This window comes from Homo sapiens, chromosome 8 (assembly GCF_000001405.40).
Source record: "Homo sapiens chromosome 8, GRCh38.p14 Primary Assembly".
Lineage (NCBI taxonomy): Eukaryota > Metazoa > Chordata > Mammalia > Primates > Hominidae > Homo > Homo sapiens.
In genome coordinates this window covers 111,567,036-111,589,125 of record NC_000008.11, presented here as the reverse complement: position 1 = coordinate 111,589,125, position 22,090 = coordinate 111,567,036, and positions in this window count along the sequence as shown.

Genomic DNA, 22,090 nt, shown 5'->3' with positions numbered 1-22,090 from the left:
AAAAGCAAACAACTCCATTAAAAAGTGGGCAAAAGACATGAACAAAATGTCTCAGAAGAAGACATATAAGCAGCCAAACCACATTAAAAAGGGCTCATCATCACTAATCATCAGAAAAATGCAAGTCAAAACCAAAATGAGATACCATCTCACACCAGTCATAATGGCTATTACTAAAAAGTCAAAAATAACAGATACTGGCTAGGCTATGAAGAAAAGGGAACACTTATACACTGTTGATGAGAATGTAAATTAGTTCAGCCACTGTGAAAAGCAATTTGAAGTTTCTCAAAGAACTTAAAACAGAGCTAACATTCAACCAAGCAATCCCATTACTGGATATATACCCAAAGGAATATAGATCAATATATCAAGCAACACATGCTTGTATGTACATTGCCATGTTATTTACAATAGCGAAGACATGGAATCAACCTACGTTCCCATTGACTAGATAAAGAAAATGTGGTACATAAACACCATGGAATACTATGCAGCCATAAAAAATAATAGAATCATGTTCTTTGCTGCAACATGGATGAAGCTGGAGGACATAATTCTAAGTGAACTAATGAAGGAACAGAAAACCAAGTACCACATCTATTTCTTATAAGTTGGAGCTAAACATTGAGCACACATGGGCATAAACATGGGAATAACCAACATTGAACGCTACTAGAGAGGGAGGGAGAAATGAAGTGTGGGTTTCAAAGTTATCTACAGGGTGCTATGCTCCTTACCTGGGTCCAATAAACCCATGTAATAATCCTATGTATGTACCTCCTGTGTCTAAAATAAAAGCTGAAATTAAAAGTAGAGCGAGAGCTATACTGTCTATATTCTCTAAGTACGTAGTACAAGAGAGTGATATGTTTGTTCCACTCTTAGGCTCAAATTATGTTGTTAAAAAGCTTTAATCACAAACCCAGAGCTGAAGTTTTAGACTCAGATTTGCCTTTATCACTACTACATAGAGGACAAACTTCTTTGAGGTACATTTTTTAAGTGAAAATTATATATTTCTGCAGATAGCATCTATCTTTTGAACTGAGAATTTGAGTCCTTAAGTAGTCTAGAATATACTGTAAGTGCAGATCCATAATATAAAAATAAAATAGTTCAATAATAATATCTCTCACTAAATGACACCAATCCTGAAAACTAAACTTAGGGATAAATTTGATTTAAGAATGGTTCAGTTCTTTTTTATGTGGAAAGAATATCTGCTTTGGTAAAGTGGACATTTTTCAAAAAGCACAAGTAGTGTATTAAAGAAAGAAAAATACAACATAACTCAGCCACTAGACCAAAGAATATAAACTTACTGATTTGCAGAGCTAGATAGTAAAAATTTTATTTCCTACAAGTCTAATTAACAAACTTATACTATGTTAAATACCAAATCTTAAACAATTGGATATTCATCAACTCTTTCCTACATATGAGATTATCAGATCGGAACTAAGGTGAAATGTTAACTTTGTACTATATGTCAAATATCTACTAAAAATGTTAATAGTTTAAATAAGACTGTTGAAGAATTATAACACTGTAACATAGATTTTTGTTTTTAATCTCATGAAAGTGAAGTATTTGGTTAGTTAAAATATTATGATTACTTTATATTAATTCAAATATGCTTACATAATAATTTTTGTAAACTATAATTTATATATTTTAGTAATTCCAATGAATATACTGTACTATTTAATGTATATTTATGTTCTTTCTTTGTGTTAAAGATTGATATGGTAATCTTAAGATTAACTGGGATATATGAATACTTTATGATTTAATATTTCTTGGCTTTTAAAATAATATGTCCACATTTAAAAATGTATTTTATATTTTGTCCTTCATATATTATTTTCATTTACATAAGCTATTAATAGGGGTAAATCTGTTAAGACAGAAAACAAAACTTTCCTTAAAATAATAGCTTAGAAAAACTGTAAAGAAGAAAGTTTGAGAGACTGAATTCCTCAGGAGTAATAAATCTGCCTGACCTAATAAGCAAAAAAGAAAAGCAAGTGATTGCTGGGGATATACTGAGCTCAGTATTATTCTGACTAAGAAAAAGGTTTTGGTTATTAAACCATCTGAGTGTGAATTTGAGTGGTTACTAAGGGATTGAAGAACAAATCTTATTCTGTTATGCATTACTATATATTGTGGAAATGCCTGCCATAAATTCGTAACTCTAGAGAAAATTCATAATTAAAAAACTGATGGCACTAACAATTTCTTTTCTTTTTTTAGTTTAGGAGATAAATTTACTTTTTGGTTAAAGGTATACTAGGAGGACTTCTGAAATAACAATTATAATTCTATAAATTTACTTGAGGCTAGTGTTATGTATATGTGTGTCCATGTGTGTACAAGATATGTACACATGAACTATACATAGGTATGCACTGATATATACATAGATTGTAGTTTGTGTGTTCAACTTACTCTTTATATTTTGGCAATTTTTTAGATACTATAGGTGTAAAAATTATAATTTTAAGTTCACAGATGAAGCATATTTACCTCTTTGAATAAAGCATAATTTTGTAAACTTTATGATTGATAGGATGGATACAGGACTGAAGATTCAGAGACCATGAAAGATTTATGTCAGGTTTAAAAAAAAATCTTTTAAATAAGATGGCCTCGAGACTTCAGCTTGCTTTATATACATAGTTCAACTTTATGGCAAATTCCTTCCTTATATATAGTTTATCTGCTTGAAATTAAATATACAGGGATCCTAGAAAGTTTATTATTATGAAGGAAAAACTGACTTCAGTGTTATTTCCCTGATGTTACAAATGAGCAATTGGATGACAGATGGTTAAATATTTTGATACTTGCAGCTAAAAATAAAATAAAATCCACCCGAAAAGGACCTTTGTTATCACATACCTACAATTATAGTGGTAGTGTGGTCTCCATGATTGTTTGATGTAATAGATCAACAATGTTATCCAGGACCTGGGTTCATGCTTTCTTGCCATTTCGCTATCTTTAGTTCTGGATTCATATCAAGATGGCTACAGCACTTTCAGCAATCATACCATGCTTGACACTAACTAGGGAAGAATAGAGAATGTCTCTTTCTTTGAGTCTCTCTTACATCTTATTGGCCAGAACTTGATTATCTGCCCATCTCTGAACCAATTATTGTCATGACAAATGAAGTATCCTTGGACAATGAAACACATTGCTGAAACTGGGTTAGAACTTCCCCCAAGGCACAAAGATAAAGAGGGGAAGGTGAGATAGCTAAACAAATCTGTTTCTAGTATAAGTGGAAAAGGGGAGAATGGATACTTGGTAGACAAACCATAGTGTCCATTACTAAAAGATACTTGAGGGACAATGTACAGTGAATTAAAGTGATACAATTGCTAATGGGTTGAGTAATTACACATTTTAAGGAAACCACAATAATGTGAGGAGATAGCTGCCAACATCTGTTGAATATGTATCGCCTGGAAATAAGTCAGCACATGAAAATCATAAATAAGTACTATATTTCAGAAAGAACAACATCAGATGGCTAAAAGTCTGAGGTAGTGTTGTACAGATGTTATAAAAAGTAGTTGGTAGCAAATTAATTGTTCTTTGTATCACAGTGTGAAATGATACTTGACATATTATTTCAGTTAGCACACACTCTAAGAGCAAACATTCTATTACCGTAATTTTAGTGTATTATAGACTCTTGAAAGTAGAATCTCTATTACAAACAAGTACAATGATAATAAAACATATGGTCCTAAGTAATGTGAAACTTCTGGAAGGATAAATAAATCTGGAAGAAGGAAAAAAATCAACCATAAATACATGATTTATTTTCTGAAAAATAAATTACTAACATAATTTTCAAACTCTTTACTCACTCTCACTTGTATTCCTTTCTCATGCATGTAATTCATATTTACTATGGATTCAGAGTAGTGGATCCTGTGAGTCAACTCTTCTTGCTTTATTTTCTATCGGGTGTCCTCTAAAAATGGCATATAACGTCTCTTATGAAGATCTAAGGATTTGTACAAATCTTCCCTTATAGGCATAGATTTCAGAGTGGTTTTAATGTTTCCTTGGGGTGGCTGTTTTGAGTTTCTGGGCACATTACAGTTCACTCATGGTGAGATAATCATCACAGTAGACTCCCCTGATGTCTTATCAGCTGCTACCATTAGATAGCAGAGCATAATATATCTGTTGATGTCCAGCTGTTCTTGGTTTGTAGCTGGAACCAATGCAATTATGCAAAGCTTTCTTGTAAAAGAATGAATTTTCTCCATTAACTGTTTCTTTGAATAGCCTTAGTCTAGTAACTTTCAAAACATACACTCCTCCTCACCCAGATTCTCATTTTTTTCTCATTGAAATGCATTTCTCATATGAAATAACCATTCTCCAGCTTCTTCTGCATTTGTGTGCCATCAAAATTGCTTTTTAAACCACATAACAAAATATAGTTAAAAGCAAAACATGTAGTTTATCTTAAGATTTGATACCAACGTAGTATTTTTCTCTACTGACACAAAAATTGTCATTTTTATAAGTTTCTATCCATCATCATTGCAAACAAGGTTCCAGAGATACATATTTTCAGAAAGCAGGCAGAGAAAAATCACATATGACTTTTTGTAAACTCAAAATTTAATTCCAAACAGTAATGTCAAATTCTGTTAAGCTGTATTGTGCCATATAGTAAAATGTATCCTCCCACACATAAAGTAAGCCTGAATATAAAGAGAAAAAGTGAGATATCAGGATAATACTCTCTACTTCCTAATTCTCAAATGTGAATTTAGAGGTTTGATTGGACCCAAGGTCAAAATTATGAGATCCAATGAAGGGAAAGAAAAATGCAGACATTTGGGGGAACAGAAGAGGTAAGGAAAGCCTGAGTGCTGACACTTAAGTGAGAAGAGACAGAAGAAGATGGAAAGAGATTCCTTAGCCCTTTCCCATAAAAGCAAACAGTTAGATCATTTATTAGTTTTTTTTTATTTTCTGGGGATTATGGAAGTCTAATTAAATAATCCAAAGAAAAGAGCAACTACCTGCCTACAACTAAAATCATACTTAATGTTGAAATATTTAATGTGGTCTACCTAAGTTCAACAAAGATGCAAGAAGGATGCCTAGTTTCAATACCTCTATTCACTATTGTACTGAAGGGCCTAGTCATTACAATAAGGTAAAATAAGGATGAAAAGAAGGAAAGAAAAAAGAAACACATAATAATTGAAAAGGAATGAAAAGATTCCCTATTTGCAGATGATTGTTTACACAGAAAATCCCAAGGAATGTAGTCAACTAAAGCAGTAGGACACATGTCAGCATAAAAAAATTATGTGATTTCATGCAACCAGTAATCATTTAAAAAATAATTTTTAAGTTAATTTACAATAACATCAACATTATTACTAAATAATTTTAATATAAATGTATTATGCATACATTTAAGAAAATTGCATCACACCTTTTGTATAGGTTTCATAAGTAAAACCTATATAAATGTATAAGTATACTACTCTTATGAATTTGAGGATTCATATTTGTTTGCACAGACTTATATGTAGTATTAATGCAACACCCACAAAATCCCAAAAACTGACAAACTAAAGTGTTACATTAAAAAAAAAAAAACTTAGAACAAAGAACAAAGAAAATAATTTCCCAAAAGAAGAGCAATGTTGGAAGGCTTGCATAAGCCTGCTTAAAGATTTATTCTAAAGACATATAATCAAGACACTGTAATATTGACCAAAATGTAGATATATAAATTACTCAATAATAGAGAGTCCAGGAATTAAATCTTCACACTTCAGGTTAAATTATTTTTTGGCAAAGATGCAAAATAAAGTCAACTAAGGAAAGGAAACACTTTTCAACAAATGGTCCTGAAACAACTGGATACCCATATTGTGTGGGAAGGGGAACTCACCAGTACATCAAATTATGCTCAAAAATTAACTTTCAATAGATTCTAGCCTAAGTGTAAAAGGGAAAACTATAAAATCATGAGAAATCCTGGGAAAAAACTCTTTAAGAACTTGGGTTAGGAAAAGATGCTAGAAAGCAAACCAAAACCATGAGTTATAAAAGAAAAACTTGATTAATTGATATTGAACATTATCAAAAATTATTCTCCTTATACAACCCACTGCTCAAAGGCGTAAGAGAGGACACAAACAAATGGGAAAACATTCCACTCTTGTGGATAGGAAGAATCAGTATCTTAAAAATGGCCATACTGCCCAAAGTAATTTATAGATTCAATGCTATTCCCATCAAACTACCACTGACTTTCTTCCCAGAACTAGAAAAAACTACTTTAAAATTCATGTAGAACCATAAAAGAGCCCATATAGCCAAGACAATCGTAAGCAAAAAGAACAAAGCTGGAGGCATCACACTACATGACTTCAAACTATACTACAAGGCTACAGTAACCAAAACAGCATGGTACTGGTACCAAAACAGACACACTGACCAATGGAACAGAATAGAAATCTCAGAAATAAGACCACATATCTACAGCCATCTGATCTTCAACAAACCTAACAAAAACAAGCAATGGGGAAAGGATTCTCTATTTAATAAGTGGTGCTGAGAAAACTAGCTAGTCATATGCAGAAAACTGAAACTGGACCCCTTCCTTACACCTTATATAAAAATTAACTCAAGATGGATTAAAGACTTAAATGTAAAACCCAAAACTATAAAAACCCTAGAAGAAAACCTGGGCAATACCACTCAGGACATAGGCATGGGCAGAGATTTTATGATGAAATCACCAAAAACAATGGCAGCACATGCCAAAATTGACAAATGGGATCTAATTAAACTAAAGAGCTTCTGCACAGAAAAAGAAATTATCATCAATGTGAACAGGCAACTTACAGAATGGGAGAAAATTTTTGCAATCTACCCATCTGACAAAGGTCTAATATTCAGAATTTACAAGGAACTTAAAAAATTTGCAAGGGAAAAACAAACAACCTCATCAAAAAATGGGCAAAGGACATGAACAGACACTTCTCAAAAGAAGACATATATGCAGCCAACAAACATGTGAAAAAAAGCTCAACATCACTGATAATTAGAGAAATGCAAATCAAAACCACAATGAGATATCAACTCATGCCAGTCAGAATGGTGATTATTAAAAAGTCAGGAAAGAATAGATGCTGGCAGAGCTGTGGAGAAATAGGAACACTTTTACACTGTTGGTGGGAATGTAAAGTAGTTAAACCATTGTGGAAGACAGTGTAGGGATTCCTCAAATATGTAGAACCAGAAATACCATTTGACCCAGCAATCCCATTATAGTTTATATACCCAAGGAAATATAAATCATTCTATTATAAAGATATATGCATGCATATGTTTATTCCAGCACTATTCACAATAGCAAAGACATGGAATCAACCAAAATGCCCATCAGCAATAGACTAGATAAAGAAAATGTGGTACATATGCACTATGGAATACTATGCAGCCAAAAAAAGGAGCAAGATCATGTCCTTTGCAGGGACATGGATGAATTTGGAAGCCATCATTTTCAGCAAACTAACACAGGAACAGAAAACCAAACACCACCATGTTCTCACTCATTATTGGGAGCTGAACAACAAGAACACATGGACAGAGGGAGGGGAACAACACACACCGGGGCCTGTCAGAGAGGCAATGGGAGGGAGAGCAACTGGATAAATCACTAATGCATGCTGGGCTTAATACCTAGGTGATGGGTTGATATGTGCAGAAACCTCCATGCCACACATTTGCCTATGTAACAAACAGTTAATTTGGAAAAAATATATATGTATATATATATTTGTATACATACACACACATATATATCTTTTACAGTTGTGTGAGTGAATTCCTTATAACAAATAATATATACTTTTTTGTGTAGAAATAGAGCAAATGACTTTACACCCCCCCACACACACCACGTTTATACGTGTGTGTGCATATATAGACACACACATCCCCATATTTTTAAATTATACATACAACAAATTACTCCTGTTGAATTTATGTAAAGAAATCTTACAGCTTACAACTTACATGGGGTGTGTGTGCGTGCGTGTGTGTGTGTGTATAGTCTCCCATTTGCTCTATTTCTCTGAAGTCTTTCTGAAGAACCTAGACTGATGGATTGACAGAGAAGAGCTCAGTGGACAAAAAGAGGAATAAACTAATTAGAAATAGGAAGAATTTTCCGGGGGTTGTAAATACAATTTCTTTTTCTTTTTTTTTTTTTTTTTTTGAGATGGAGTCTCGCTCTGTCGCCCAGGCTGGAGTGCAGTGGCGCGATCTCAGCTCACTGCAAGCTCCACCTCCCCGGTTCACGCCATTCTGCTGCCTCAGCCTCCCGAGTAGCTGGGACTACAGGCGCCCGCTACCACTCCCGGCTAATTTTTTATATTTTGTTTAGTAGAGGCGGGGTTTCACCGTGTTAGCCAGGATGGTCTCTATCTCCTGACCTCGTGATCCGCCTGCCTCAGACTCCCAAAGTGCTGGGATTACAGGCGTGAGCCACCGTGCCCAGCCTTAAATACATCTTTAACTTGAATATGCTGTTAGTTTCACAGATGTATTCAAATATCACGTGTCATTTGTACACTTTAAGTAAAGTGTGCTTATGTAAATTACTCACAATAAAGTTTCTTTTTAAGAAAATAAAAGTGACAACCCATGAATGACATTTTGAACAGTGTTTCTATCATGCCAGCACTAGGGCATAGGCCAAATCCCAGTGCTACACTAATCCATGCTATTAATTTATATCAACCTCAGAAGAAGTAGAAGACAGCTGAGAGAAAAAAGAAATAACCTCTTCCCTACTTAAGACAACATTACTGAAATTAAATAACTATTCTAGAATTTAAATGTATCCCTCTCTACCACAGTGGCACTGATATTGACAAATACAGAACAATATGCTTTGTTTGTTTGTTTGAGGAGTCTCACTCTGTCTCCCAGTCTGGAGTGCAGTGGTGCGATCTCAGCTGACTGCAACCTCAGCCTCCCAGGTTCAAGCCATTCTCCTGCCTCAGCCTCCCGAGTAGCTGGCACTACAGTTGTGCACCACTGTACCTGGATAATTATTGTATTTTCAGTAGAGAAGGGTTTTACCATGTTAGCCTGGCTGATTTTGAACTCCTTACCTCAGGTGATCCACCCGCCTCGGCATCCCAAAGTGCTGGGATTGCAGGCGTGAGCCACCTCACCTGGCAAGAACAATAGCTTTGATAATCAATGAATACTATAAGAAACCAAGAGGAATTAGGTACTTAGCAAAGAATTCTCTATTTTCTATTATCTACACAAATTGCTAGTTTTTTGTTTGATTCATTTTCTTTGAGATTTCTTTCTCACAAAAAGGAGATCTAATCATTTCCCATTCCTTGAGTTCTTTGAGTCAGTGTGTCATACAGCATATATTTAATATTAAATAGTGGCATCCTTTTCATTGTACTAATTTTTCATAATCAATTCCAAAAAAGGAAAAATTCTAGCTTAAATTTTGTTTTTGTTTTTTGTATTTTTAAACTGTATAATTTCTATTTTTATTGACTATTGTATATATTTATGGGGTACAATGTGATTATTTGATGCATGTATACATTGTGGAATGATAGATCAGGATAATTAACATTTTCATCACCTTGCACCCTTATTAGTTTTTGTGGTGAGAACATTTAAAATTTATTCTCTTGGCAATTTTGAAATATACAATACATTACTATATAATCACTGTGAGCACAATGGATCTCAAGATCTCATTCCTCTCACTAACAACCATCTTTTACAAGAAGGACCCCTCTTCACTTTGAGGAAGTAAGAAAATAGCACAGTTGGAACAGAAAATAGGACATGAGCCATTAGTAAATACTAATGATCCTCAAGAAGCATTGGATCTCCATTATTAAAAAGCACAAAGTTGAATCCAGACTACTGATAAGTCTCCTATCATACATGAATATTGGCTGGGCAGAATGTGACTCAGAAACTCTATTTGAGGCTGTTGAATATTATTTTGTTGAACCTATCTCATATAGCTAACATCAGCTGCTCAAAATCTGATGCCACTTTGATATCTCATACTCAGGTTAAATCTTGAATTTTTGTACTTCATTTTCTTAAATCCTAATATTTCACAGAATAAATTAAGGATAATATTAGTACTTTACAATAATGTTTTTGTAAATAGTTCGAGAACACAAGTAAAATGAATGTATTTAAAAAGCATATCTCGAGCTGGGCATGGTGACTCACACCTGTAATCCCAGAATTTTGGGAGGCCAAGGTGGGCAGATTGCTAGAACCCAGAAGTTCAACACCAGCTTAGGCAATATGGCGAGAGCTTGTCTATACTAAAAAAAAAAAAAAAAAAAAAAAAAAAAAAGCCAGGCATGGTGGTGCATGCCTGTGGTCCCAGCTACTCAGGAGGCTGAGGTGGGAGTATTGCTTGAGCCTAGCGGGTGGCAGAGGCTATAGTGAGCAGAGATCATGCCACTGCACTCCAGACTGGGCAAAACAAGACCTTGTCAGAACAAAAAAAGAAAAAAAAGCATAGCTCAGTTATGAAAAGTAGAGGTGTAAGATTGTGAAGATTGTCTTGCACATTGATTATCTTGTAGATCAATTTAGAGAAAATTTTCAAAAAGGAGGGGACTACTTTTGTGAATATATAATTAAAATTCCATATATAAAAGCAATGAAAATAATAACAACTAGAAATTCTTTACTTTGAATGCATACTTTACATATTAGCTTCTCTGAAACTAGAGGAACTCATTTTATCCCTAGTATCTCTCATAAAGCCTGATTCATAGTTCTGTAAGCATTTGTAGAAACAAGAGCAAAAAACAAGCATAGTAATTTTATGGACTGCCAATTTTGAAAGAAGCATGAAGATTCTCATAATTTTTCACCCTCAAGGGAGAATATTCCAAGAAATCTCAATATATCTCTAGGACACTTGAATTATGTTGCTGGAATCTATCCATAATTACTAGATTTATTAGTGCATAAAGTAACAAACAGACCAAAAATGTATATAACTCAGAGATAACTTAGTTGTCTGAATAATACCAAGAAAAGTTTTGGCTTCTATTAATACATATTGGTTCACAAATATGTTTTCTATTACTGTTACTGAAAGTAAAATTTACTGTAAATGAATTATTATGCAAAATTATTGCCGTGTATTTCACAACATGTACTTGCAATGGATGGGCACAAATTCATTTATTGGACATCAGATTTTTCAAGTGAGCTGAATGTGTAATAGCAATCAAGATAATTAGGGTTTGCAACATCCATAAATACACCAAGACATTGGTTTCACGTGATTTGAATTTCATGAACTAGACCATTCATTGGTTTTAAGAAGTTCTTGCTTATTGAGTTATCCATCTACTAAAATTTTCAGATATCTTCATGGATTCCTAATCACTAAATTCATTAATTGAGATTTTCTTCTAACATATCAGTGTAGGTCCTCTATAGTCTAGCCCTTCTACTGATAACTGCTACATACTCAAGAAGAAATATAGGGAAGAACTAGTGGAAAATTCAGAATAGTAAACAAATGCAAGCATATTGTTGGGGGAGTTAAAACTTGAAACTTTCCATTGTTTTTTGGCTTTTTCTTGATGGTGTACCAGGGACTCAAATCAGTAAAGTGTAGATGAATAAATCTGATTAAAACTTGCCATATTTCTGGCTAGAGGAACCAGGAAAAGGAGTCTGTGCAGGTGAAACTACAGAGAGTAAAGAGGAATCCCAGAGAGGAGAGAGGAGAGAAGGGGATTTCTTAATTTTGGGTATGGGCCTTATGTAAATCTCTGGCAGACTGATGAATTACGAATGCATGAGACAGACGCACAGTAGAACAATAAAGACTTAAGAAATTACACTGATATTTAAGCCTGCATCTACTGAAGATGAGAGAGCTCATAGTATAACCAGGTTAACTGCTCGTTCAAAATGAAAATATTAACTTTATTTTTTCTGAGAAATATAATAGAACTCAGGCAAAGGGGGTGAGGACAGGGAGGCTTCCAAATCACTTGAGAAATTGCAGGGATTTGGAGGTTACTTCCCAGGAAGAGGAAACAAAGGCCAGCCAAATTTTTTATTGTACAAAGAGAAAAACAGACAGCACTTTAATAGATGGAGAAACAGTATTTGACAAAATTAATGATAAGAAATCTCCAGTAAACTAGAAATAGAATGAAATGGCATCAGTCTGATAAAGCTGAATCATATACAATAGTAAAAATAAAATCACTTTCCTGATAAGGACAGCCACTCTGACAACTTCTGTTCCACATTATGCTTGAAGATCTAGCTGTTGCAACAAAGAAATGGTAAAATAATAAAAAATTTAACACAAAGTCTTTTTGAAAACTGAATATCCATATGGAAAATTAAAGAATATTATCTTTTTACCATGTATCATACAAAAACCTAACTTAAAAGTATTCTTGTAAAAACAACAGAAAAGCATGGACTGTAACAAATTGGTAATTTGTAATTTATACAATTAAAGTGTTTGTTCTGTGGAAAACATAGCTGAGAAAAAACAAGCCACAGATTGCAGGAATATTTTCATAGCATGTATAGCAGATAGAGAATTTGTATCCAAAATATATAAAGAATTTATAAACTTCAACCATGAGAAAACATTTTAAAAAGGGTAAAAAATTTGAAAACCACTATACTCTTATTAACTATGGTAGTTTAGTAGAAACTAAAATCAAAATATTAGAATGATCAAAATGACAAACATTGACAATACTATGTGTTAATGAGCATTTAGAGAACTGTAATTCTATGTGCTGGTAAGAATGTAAAATTGCACACTATTTTGGGAGAATGTGTGTAGTTTCTTAAATTATTGAATATACACCTGCCATAAGACACAGTGTTTCCACTGTGTTCTGTCCAACGGAAATGATAACATCCATCTACCTAAAGACCTTTTCTAAAAATATTCAGAGCAGCTTTATTCATGATATTCAAAAACTGGACAAAAAAAGGTATCAACTGATGAAGAGACAAAGAAATTTAGTTATATCCATCTACAAGAATACTGTTTACCAAAAAAATAATTACTGATGAGAAGTGTCTGTTCATATCCTTCGCCCAAGATAGAAGACATTTATACAGCCAATAGACACTTGAAAAAATGCTCATCATCACTGGCCATCAGAGAGATGCAAATCAAAACCACAATGAGATACCATCTCACACCAGTTAGAATGGCGAACATTAAAATGTCAGGAAACAATAGGCTCTGGAGAGGATGTGGAGAAATAGGAACACTTTTATACTGTTGGTGGGACTGTAAACTAGTTCAACCATTGTGGAAGACAGTGCGGCAATTCCTCAAGGATCTAGAACTAGAAATACCATTTGACCCAGCCATCCCATTACTGGATATATACCCAAAGGATTATAAATCATGCTGCTATAAAGACACATGCACACGTATGTTTATGCAGCACTATTCACAATAGCAAAGACTTGGAACCAAGCTAAATGTCCAACAATGATAGACTAGATTAAGAAAATGTGGCACATATACACCATGGAATACTATGCAGCCACAAAAAGGATGAGTTCATGTCCTTTTTAGGGACATGGATGAAGCAGGAAACCATCATTCTTAGCAAACTATCACAAGGACAAAAAACCAAACACTGCATGTTCTCACTCATAGGTGGGAATTGAACATTGAGAACACCTGGACACAGGAAGGGGAACATCACACACTGGGGCCTGTCGTGGGGTAGGGGTAGGGGGAGGGATAGCATTAGGAGATATACCTAATGTAAAAGACGAGTTCATGGGTGCAGCACACCAACATGGCACATGTATACATATGTAACAAACCTATACATTGTGCACATGTATCCTAGAACTTAAAGTATAATAAAAATAATTAAATAAATAAATATAAATAAAAATAAAACAAGTTCGATCTGTAAAAAAAAAACTGATGAACACAGCAGCATGATAAATCTGAGTTGCACAGAAAGCAATAACAAAGATATACAAAAAGTCACACTGTACCAATTCATTAATATAAAATTCTAGAAAATGCTAATATATCGGTAGTGACAGAAAGTAGACTATCACCAGTTGCCTGGGTCAGTGTGAAGGGAATGATGGATTAAAAAGGAACAAGAGGAAATTTCTGGCTGAAGGAAATATTCTGTGTATTGATTGTGTATTCTCTTCCTAGATGTATGCATCTGTCACATTTTGGAAATTTTACTTTTTAAATATGTTCAGCATTTTGCACATAAAGTATAACTACCAACAAAATGATTAAAAAGACATTGTATGATTATTTTTAAGTGTTATATTGTCAATTTTCTGAATGTTCATCCTAAATGCTTTTAGCTGTTGCTTTCCATCATGTTGCATTTATTTTTTTTTCTATAATCCTTTTTCCCCCACCAGCCCGATCATCTGCAGATTTTTCATCTTAAGAACATAGGTTGCCAAAGAGTTTGTACCCTGAACTCTTCCCGTCTTTCTGTAGTGTTAACTATGATTTTCATGAAAATATTCTGCATAACTTGGTCTTTGCTGTCCTCTCTTCTAAAGCCATACTGCATTTCCAACTGGCTGATTTAGAGGTCTAGGTGACTTACCAATTGAATTTTAAATTTCAGTTTTCTGAAACTAACAAAAAAGCCTTTTTTTTTTTGCTGTCTTTTGAATGCTTTGTTTTCATCAATAGTAATAACCCATTCCCTATTTGTCAGTTTTAACTTTTTAGTTTCTTCCAAGACTGCTTTATTTGACATCTGTTTTAAGGTATAGGAAATATACCTTAAATGTTTACAGGAAATACCTTTCCTATACCATATTATGTTCTTAGAATATGATCTTTGCCATCAATTGCCACCACAACCACCATGACTTTTAATGACTTCTTGTTTTAATTTAAAAGGATCTGCTCTAGGCAGGGTGCGATGGCTTATGCCTGTAATCCCAGCACTTTGGGATCCCGAGGTGTGCAGATCACCTGTGGTAGGGAGTTTGAGACCAGCCTGACCAAAATGGAGAAACCCCGTCTCTACTAAAAATGCAAAAATTAGCCAGGCATGGTAGCGCATGTCTGTAATCCCAGCTACTTGAGAGGCTGAGGCAGGAGAATTGCTTGAACCCGGGAGGGGTAGGTTGTGGTGAGCCGAGATTGGGCCATTGCACTCCAGCCTGGGCAACAAGAGCAAAACTCCATCTCAAAAAATAATAATAATTAAAAAAAGATCTTCTCTAATTATTATAATTTTTATTCATTCATTAAAATGCTTTATAGTGATGGTTAACAATTCTCTATTCACTGTATGTAGGCCAATATATGTGCTCTTAAGTATTAAAGCAACTTCAAAAAATATATTTATTCTTTACAAAAATAAAGCATAATTTGTAATTTGTCTGAGGTCACACAGAGAGAAAATGCAGGTGCCTATACCTGACCCCAGGCAATCTATTTTTTAATTGAGATTAAATTTAAATAATATAGAATTAATTATTCTAAAGTGTGCTTTAAAATAGATTTTAATGTATTCGCAACATCGAGTTATCATCTCTCTTTAGTTTCAAAAATTTTCATCATCCCTTAAGAGAACCTCATATGTTTTAACTACTCCTCATTCTTCCCTTCTCTGTATAAAGGGGTAACCATGAAGCTTGTTTCTGTCTGTAAGTATCTCCCTAATCTAGATAACCCATATAAAAGAAATCACAATATATGATATTTGTGTCTGGCTTCTTTCACTTATCATAATGTTTCCAGGTTTATCAAAGTTCTGTTAAGTGGCAACATTTAATTCCTTTTTATACTATATAGTATTCTACTGTGTGTATGTACCACAATTTGTTTATCCATTTATTTGTTGATAATCATTTGGACTGTTTCCAACTTCTGGCTATGGTTAATATTGCTGCCATAAATATTTATTTACATGTTTCTGTTTGGGCATATATTTTCGTTTTAGAAAGTCTTTCAATTTTAATAGCTGATGATGGAACAAATTAGTTGAAAATGTATTGAACAGTCATTAAACAATCCACTATGGTTAGATCTTGGAAAAAATTACAGTTACCATGGTTTGCAACTAAGCAGAATTATTTGGACCTCTGGTGTCAGTAAAGCTGAATATGAAACCAGAGGACTCCTAATTTAGAATAATAGAATCTTTGCTCTTTTCATTATATCCATTACTTAGGAATAATATGGTTTCTTTAGGTATGTACAGTCTATTTCTTCTAAAAAGTATATGCAGGCTGGGCATGGTGATTTGCACCTGTAATCCCAGCACTTTGGGAGTTCAAGGCGGGTGGATCACAAGGTCAGGAGTTCGAGACCAGCCTGACCAACATGGTGAAACCCCATCTCTACTAAAAATACAAAAATTAGCTGGGTGTGGTGGCATGTGCCTGTAGTCTCAGCTTCTCAGGAGGCTGAGGCAGGAGAATTGTTTGAACCCAGGAGGCGGAGGTTGCAGTGAGCCAAGATCACGCCACTGAACTCTGGCCTGGGTGACAGAGCAAGACTTCATCTCAAAAAAAAAGTGTATGTAGAGTGCCTCCTACGACCAGGTGCTATGGTAGAAGTTACAGATTTAAAGATACAAATTTATTATTCTTCTTCTCATAAAGTTTGCCTTCCTAAGAAAAGAAAATTTTAAAATATCAAATACATAAAATAATTGTTTAATGGATGTTTCTAAAAACTGCCATGGAAGCATAAGAGAAAATATGACCGAGTTTGCCTAGAGGAGTCAGGAAATTGCTCATGGAGAAATAATGTTTTGCTGAGACATAAACAATAAATATGAATTTACTAAGTAAGTAATGAAATGAAGACTTTTTCTGGTAGAATGAATAACATAAACGCCAGAAGGCAAAAAAACAAAAAGTCTGCATGATGTTACAGAACCTTCACAGTTTAGACCCTTAGTTATACTTCAACATTTATAAACTGCTGATAGTTTCCAAAACGGTGTATTTTTGTTGTTTTTCTTATTTTGTTTTGGGTTTCTTTTTTTTTTTTTTTTTTGCCTTATTGCCTTTATGTTATTCATTCTACCACAGAGTCTTCATTTCATTGCCGAATTTGTAAATTCATATTTATTGCTTATGTCTCAGCAAAATGTTATTTCTCCATGATTCTACATTATGGTGGGTTGTATAATTATTTCATTATATACTACAATGTAATAATAATAGAAATAAAGTGCACAATAAATGTAATGGGGACTGCTAGTATAGGTGACTATTTTAGGGGCCTTCTTAACACAAACAAAATAATTATTTATAAAATAAAATATTATTTATTTTTATGTATAAAGGAGTCAAAAAGCTTCCTATATCAAAATCACAACTTAAAGCATGGATCTGGTTAAAATGTACACAATAATAATTAATAGAATTTAGTAATCAATAATGGAAATAACAAAAAGACTGACATTTAGAAATGAAATTTATGTATAAAAATACCTCATAAAGAAGAAAAACAAGTGAATACCACAGATGTGCAAAGCAAATTGATGTCACCAATAATTTAAATAAATATCATAATAGAAATTAGATGCTTATAAATCTTTGTATACAATGGCACCATTCATTATAACCATATAATAAACTTTAGAAAACATAAATGACCAATGTTAAGAGAGTACTTACAGTATATTCATAAGGAAATATTATTCAGTAATACAGGACATGCATAACAAGTTTTACTGGCAGCAAAATATTTTCAATATATTTTTAAAAGGAAAAAATTAAAACAATATGGACAGCTTGGTTTCAAGTTCTGTATAGGTGGTGGGACTATCAACTTTCTTTTGCATGCTTAAATTTATTTCTAATTTATTTGTACAAGAATATGCATAGCTTTTACTATCAAAATATATTGATATAATTTAAAAAACAAATTAAAAACATGGAACATTTTGTCTATGTAGTAGAAAAGCATCAGGAGAAAAGCAGACACTAAAATAATTGAAGAAAACAAAACTCAGCAATAATTTCAAATACCATTATATCTTACAGGATGATGAGTTTTTATGTGACCATTTTATTTGTCAAATGTAATGGGACTAGAAAAGTTATAGGGGTGATTGGGTCAAAAAGCAGATTGCAATAGATTGTAGTGTTTAAAGGGTAAACATATTAAATCTAGCGGCAGCAACTTTTTCTTATCCACTGATGAAGCATCAGAGCCTAAAACAGGTCTAGAATAAAATAGGCCTAAAACAAACAGTTGTCAAATTAATAAAATGATTGAACAAATAAATTAGCACCTATTTAGAAATTTGCTTGGAAAAAATAACAAATGAGAGTAGCATGAAGTTACTATAAAGTAAATTAAATATATTGTCTTAATTTGAACTCCATGAAAAGCAGACTTTGACACAAAGATTTATATATAGTTAGATTATTGGGAGATATTCCCAAAAAACATGAAAGAAAAAGATGTGCGGAAAATGAGACAAAGAAAAATAAGTAGAGATATTTGAGGGCCCCTTAATCTCTGATCTCCACACCTTACAGTTACATTTTATGTGATCACTTTCCTTGCATGTGTGAACGGTACTTTCAACTTGCTTCTGACCAACAGAATATGGCAAAGGCAGTGAGATGTTACACCATAATTATGTTATATGGTAATGGTGATGGGATATCCCTCTGGGGATTATGTTATGTTTTTAAAGGCTTCATCATGCTAGCAGACTCAAGCAAAAGACTTTCTCCTTTCTTGGTTTTGAAGAAGTGAGCTGCCATATTGGCAGAGTGCCCATGGAGAGGGACATGTGGCAAGGAGCTTCAGGAAGCTTCTAGGAGTCGTGATCATCCCTGGCTGGTAGCCAGCATGAAAACCATGATAAAATCTCAGTCTTAAAACCACAACGAAATGAATTCTGCCAACAACCACGTAAGTGTGAAATAGAACCTTGAACTCCAGAGAGAACGGATTCCAGCTGACATCTTGATTACAGGCATCTGAGACACTGAAAAGAAAACCCAGTTAAATTGTGCCCCAATTTTTATCTTAAAAAACTGTGATATGGAAACATATAACAAATGCATGTTGTTTTAAGACTCTAAACTTTTGGTAATTTTTTTCTGTAGTAATAGAAAACTAATGGGAAGTAGAAGGAGAAAAGCCAATACAGTGTGCATTTGTGACTACATTACCCTTGTAGGCAAGTGGAACTCAGTTCAATGTAGTAGAGGGGTGGGGCTCTTAAAACCCGTAGGAAGCATTCCTCAAAATTATCCCACTGAGGAAAGTAGGAAAAGCAAGACATTTATCTACTGATTCCCATTGCACATTAGTTAAGGATTGCCTCCGGAGTACAGGTTATGCCTGTGTGGAGTTAGTCAACTCACTTGGTCCTGGAGAAGACTCTCAATCAGAGAAGAGAGAAATTGGGTGCACAGGTTGGAAATGTCAACAAACTGGGAACAGTTTACCAAAGTTGCAAGTACATTAATGTGGAAAAAAGCAACAAGCGTGGGCATAAATGAAATCTGCTATGTGCCACTTTTTGCATTGCTAAGATTCTCTCAAGGCCTGCATTGGGTCTACAATTTCTAAAATAAAACTTACAATGGAGGGTTAGTATAGTAATCTACAGTATTCATTGTATCAACTGGTCCTGAGTTCATAATTGATGTTAATCATATGAGTCTATTCCACTGAGTACAATAAGCAATAGTGCTAGAGGTTTATGTGGTTGTGTTTGAAATTCACATATTTGAAGAAGAGTGTTGCCCTGCTTGTAGCACATTTTGTTTTTCTGTCAATGTGCTGACTGTAAGCTCTTTTCAGTGCACATACACACACAAGTCCATGCACATAGACATATATTTTTTCTAAAAATTTCATAAAATTGTAAGAAAGTATTTTATAGCAAAAAGACATTTTATGGGAGGTCAAACATTACAAATGGTGTAACGGTGGCTTCAGGTAATTCTACACCTTACTGCAGAAAACACAAATAGTTACAAAAATCTGAATGTTCATGTTATATAAGTCTAATGCCCTTTGGGTAGCACCTACCTATATGTACCATATATTAATACTGAATTGATAAGAAAATTATCACATATTTTTTAAATTGAATATATTGTGACTATTAGAAATCTACTTTATTTAATGAAAACCATCCACTTAGCTGTTAACTTCTTGAATTTATGCTTAAATACAAATTTAAAAATGTAAATATTCAATTTGTTACAAATACATAGTGCCTGGCCAAAACATAGACCCTAAAATGATTTTCTTTACATTCTCATCAAGGTATACTTAATCAGGTTTTGATAAAGATACCAAGTTAAGATTCACTGTTATCTTTAAAACATTGTTCCCAATTTCATTCTCATACTGTGCTCAAAATTAAATTCCAAGAAAACATGGTCATTGAATGTTCCCATAATTCTGTGATGTATTATTGATTATAAAATGATTCTGGATAGTAAATTACCTAAAATACAGCTACTTTATAATGTATCTTATATACAAAATGTAACCCTGGATTCCAGGGATTATCTTATTTCAAATTATAAGACCCAAAAAAGTATTATTTAGCTATAAAAGAAAGAAATGACATATTTAAGCAAAGCATATTTAAATACTTTGAAAATTGATGGATACGATTTTTTAAAACATGTGTGTGCTTTGTTCAAAATTTGTGCTCTGTATTTATTGTTTTTACTTTGGTGAAAAAGAGAAAAAACTACAAAAACAAAAATTATTTTATAAATGCCATATAAACCTAATTTTACACAACTCCTTAGAAACTCCTCATTTTCCCATAAGTACTTTGATTTATCCCTTTTTTGTATTTATTTTTCTAAGATTCAGTTGATTCTCTAAAAATTAAATATACTAGAATTATACTTTTTCAAAAAGGAAAATTATATAGAGAATAAAATTGTCTAATTCTTATCTAACTGCATTCATGTTTCTATATATTTTACTTATCAATTTCTATTAAATTTCTACTTTCTGAATTGTTTTTCTCATTCAACTAGAGAAAAATCATGATAGATGCCACACGTTCCTGGTTTGTCTCAGCTGATCATTGTTTGTAGTAATGAACTGCAATGGCTTAATGGCAATTCCTGCAAGAATAACAGCCTTTGACTAGCTCTCTAAGACCACAGGTCACAGAGTCTATCACATTTATATTCTAATAGGTCCTACCTAGTAGAATGTCAAAACCATAGGTGCATCAAATATGTCATTAGTGAGCTAATTAATGAGGTTTCTTGTTCTTATCTTCTTTTGTATTTAAAGTTTTAATTTCATATTTTATAGCTTTAAAATAAACTAGTCTTCATCTTCATTCACCTTTTCATTCATTAATCCATCCACCAAACTGTTGTTATATTCATTCATTCATCCATCCACCCAATTGTTTACACTGTGCTAGGAAGGGTAAACTGTGAAAAGGTCTAAAACGAGAGGGCCTAAGTCAATATAAAAATTCAGAGAGCTTTATCCCAAGCTCCATCTTCCAACTCTGATGTTCAACAGGGACATTTTATTCTTCCTGGAAGAGAGATGAATGTTTTTGGAGTCCTCATAACATAAGAGAAATGATACTTCTGGCCTCCTTACAAACAAGCCACCCCACAAAATAATCTCCCATTTTCCTCATTTCAGATTTTCTTTTTTTTGTTTGAGACAGAATTTCGTTTTTGTCACCCAGCCTGGAGTGCAATGGCACAATCTTGGCTCACTACAAACTCTGTCTCTTGGATTCAAGCAATTCTCCTGCCTCAGCCTCCTGAGTCACTGGGATTACAGGCGCCCACCACCAGGCCCAGCTATTTTTTGTATTTTTATTAGAGATGGGGTTTCTCCATGTTGGCCAGGCTGGTCTCAAACTCCTGACCTCAGGTGATCCACCAGCCTCGACCTCCCAAAATGCTGGGGTTACAGATGTGAGCCACTGCACCAAGCCATCTCAGATCTTTTATTGTTCTCTTTTTTTCATGTGGGTCACCAGAGGCAGAAATTTTCCAG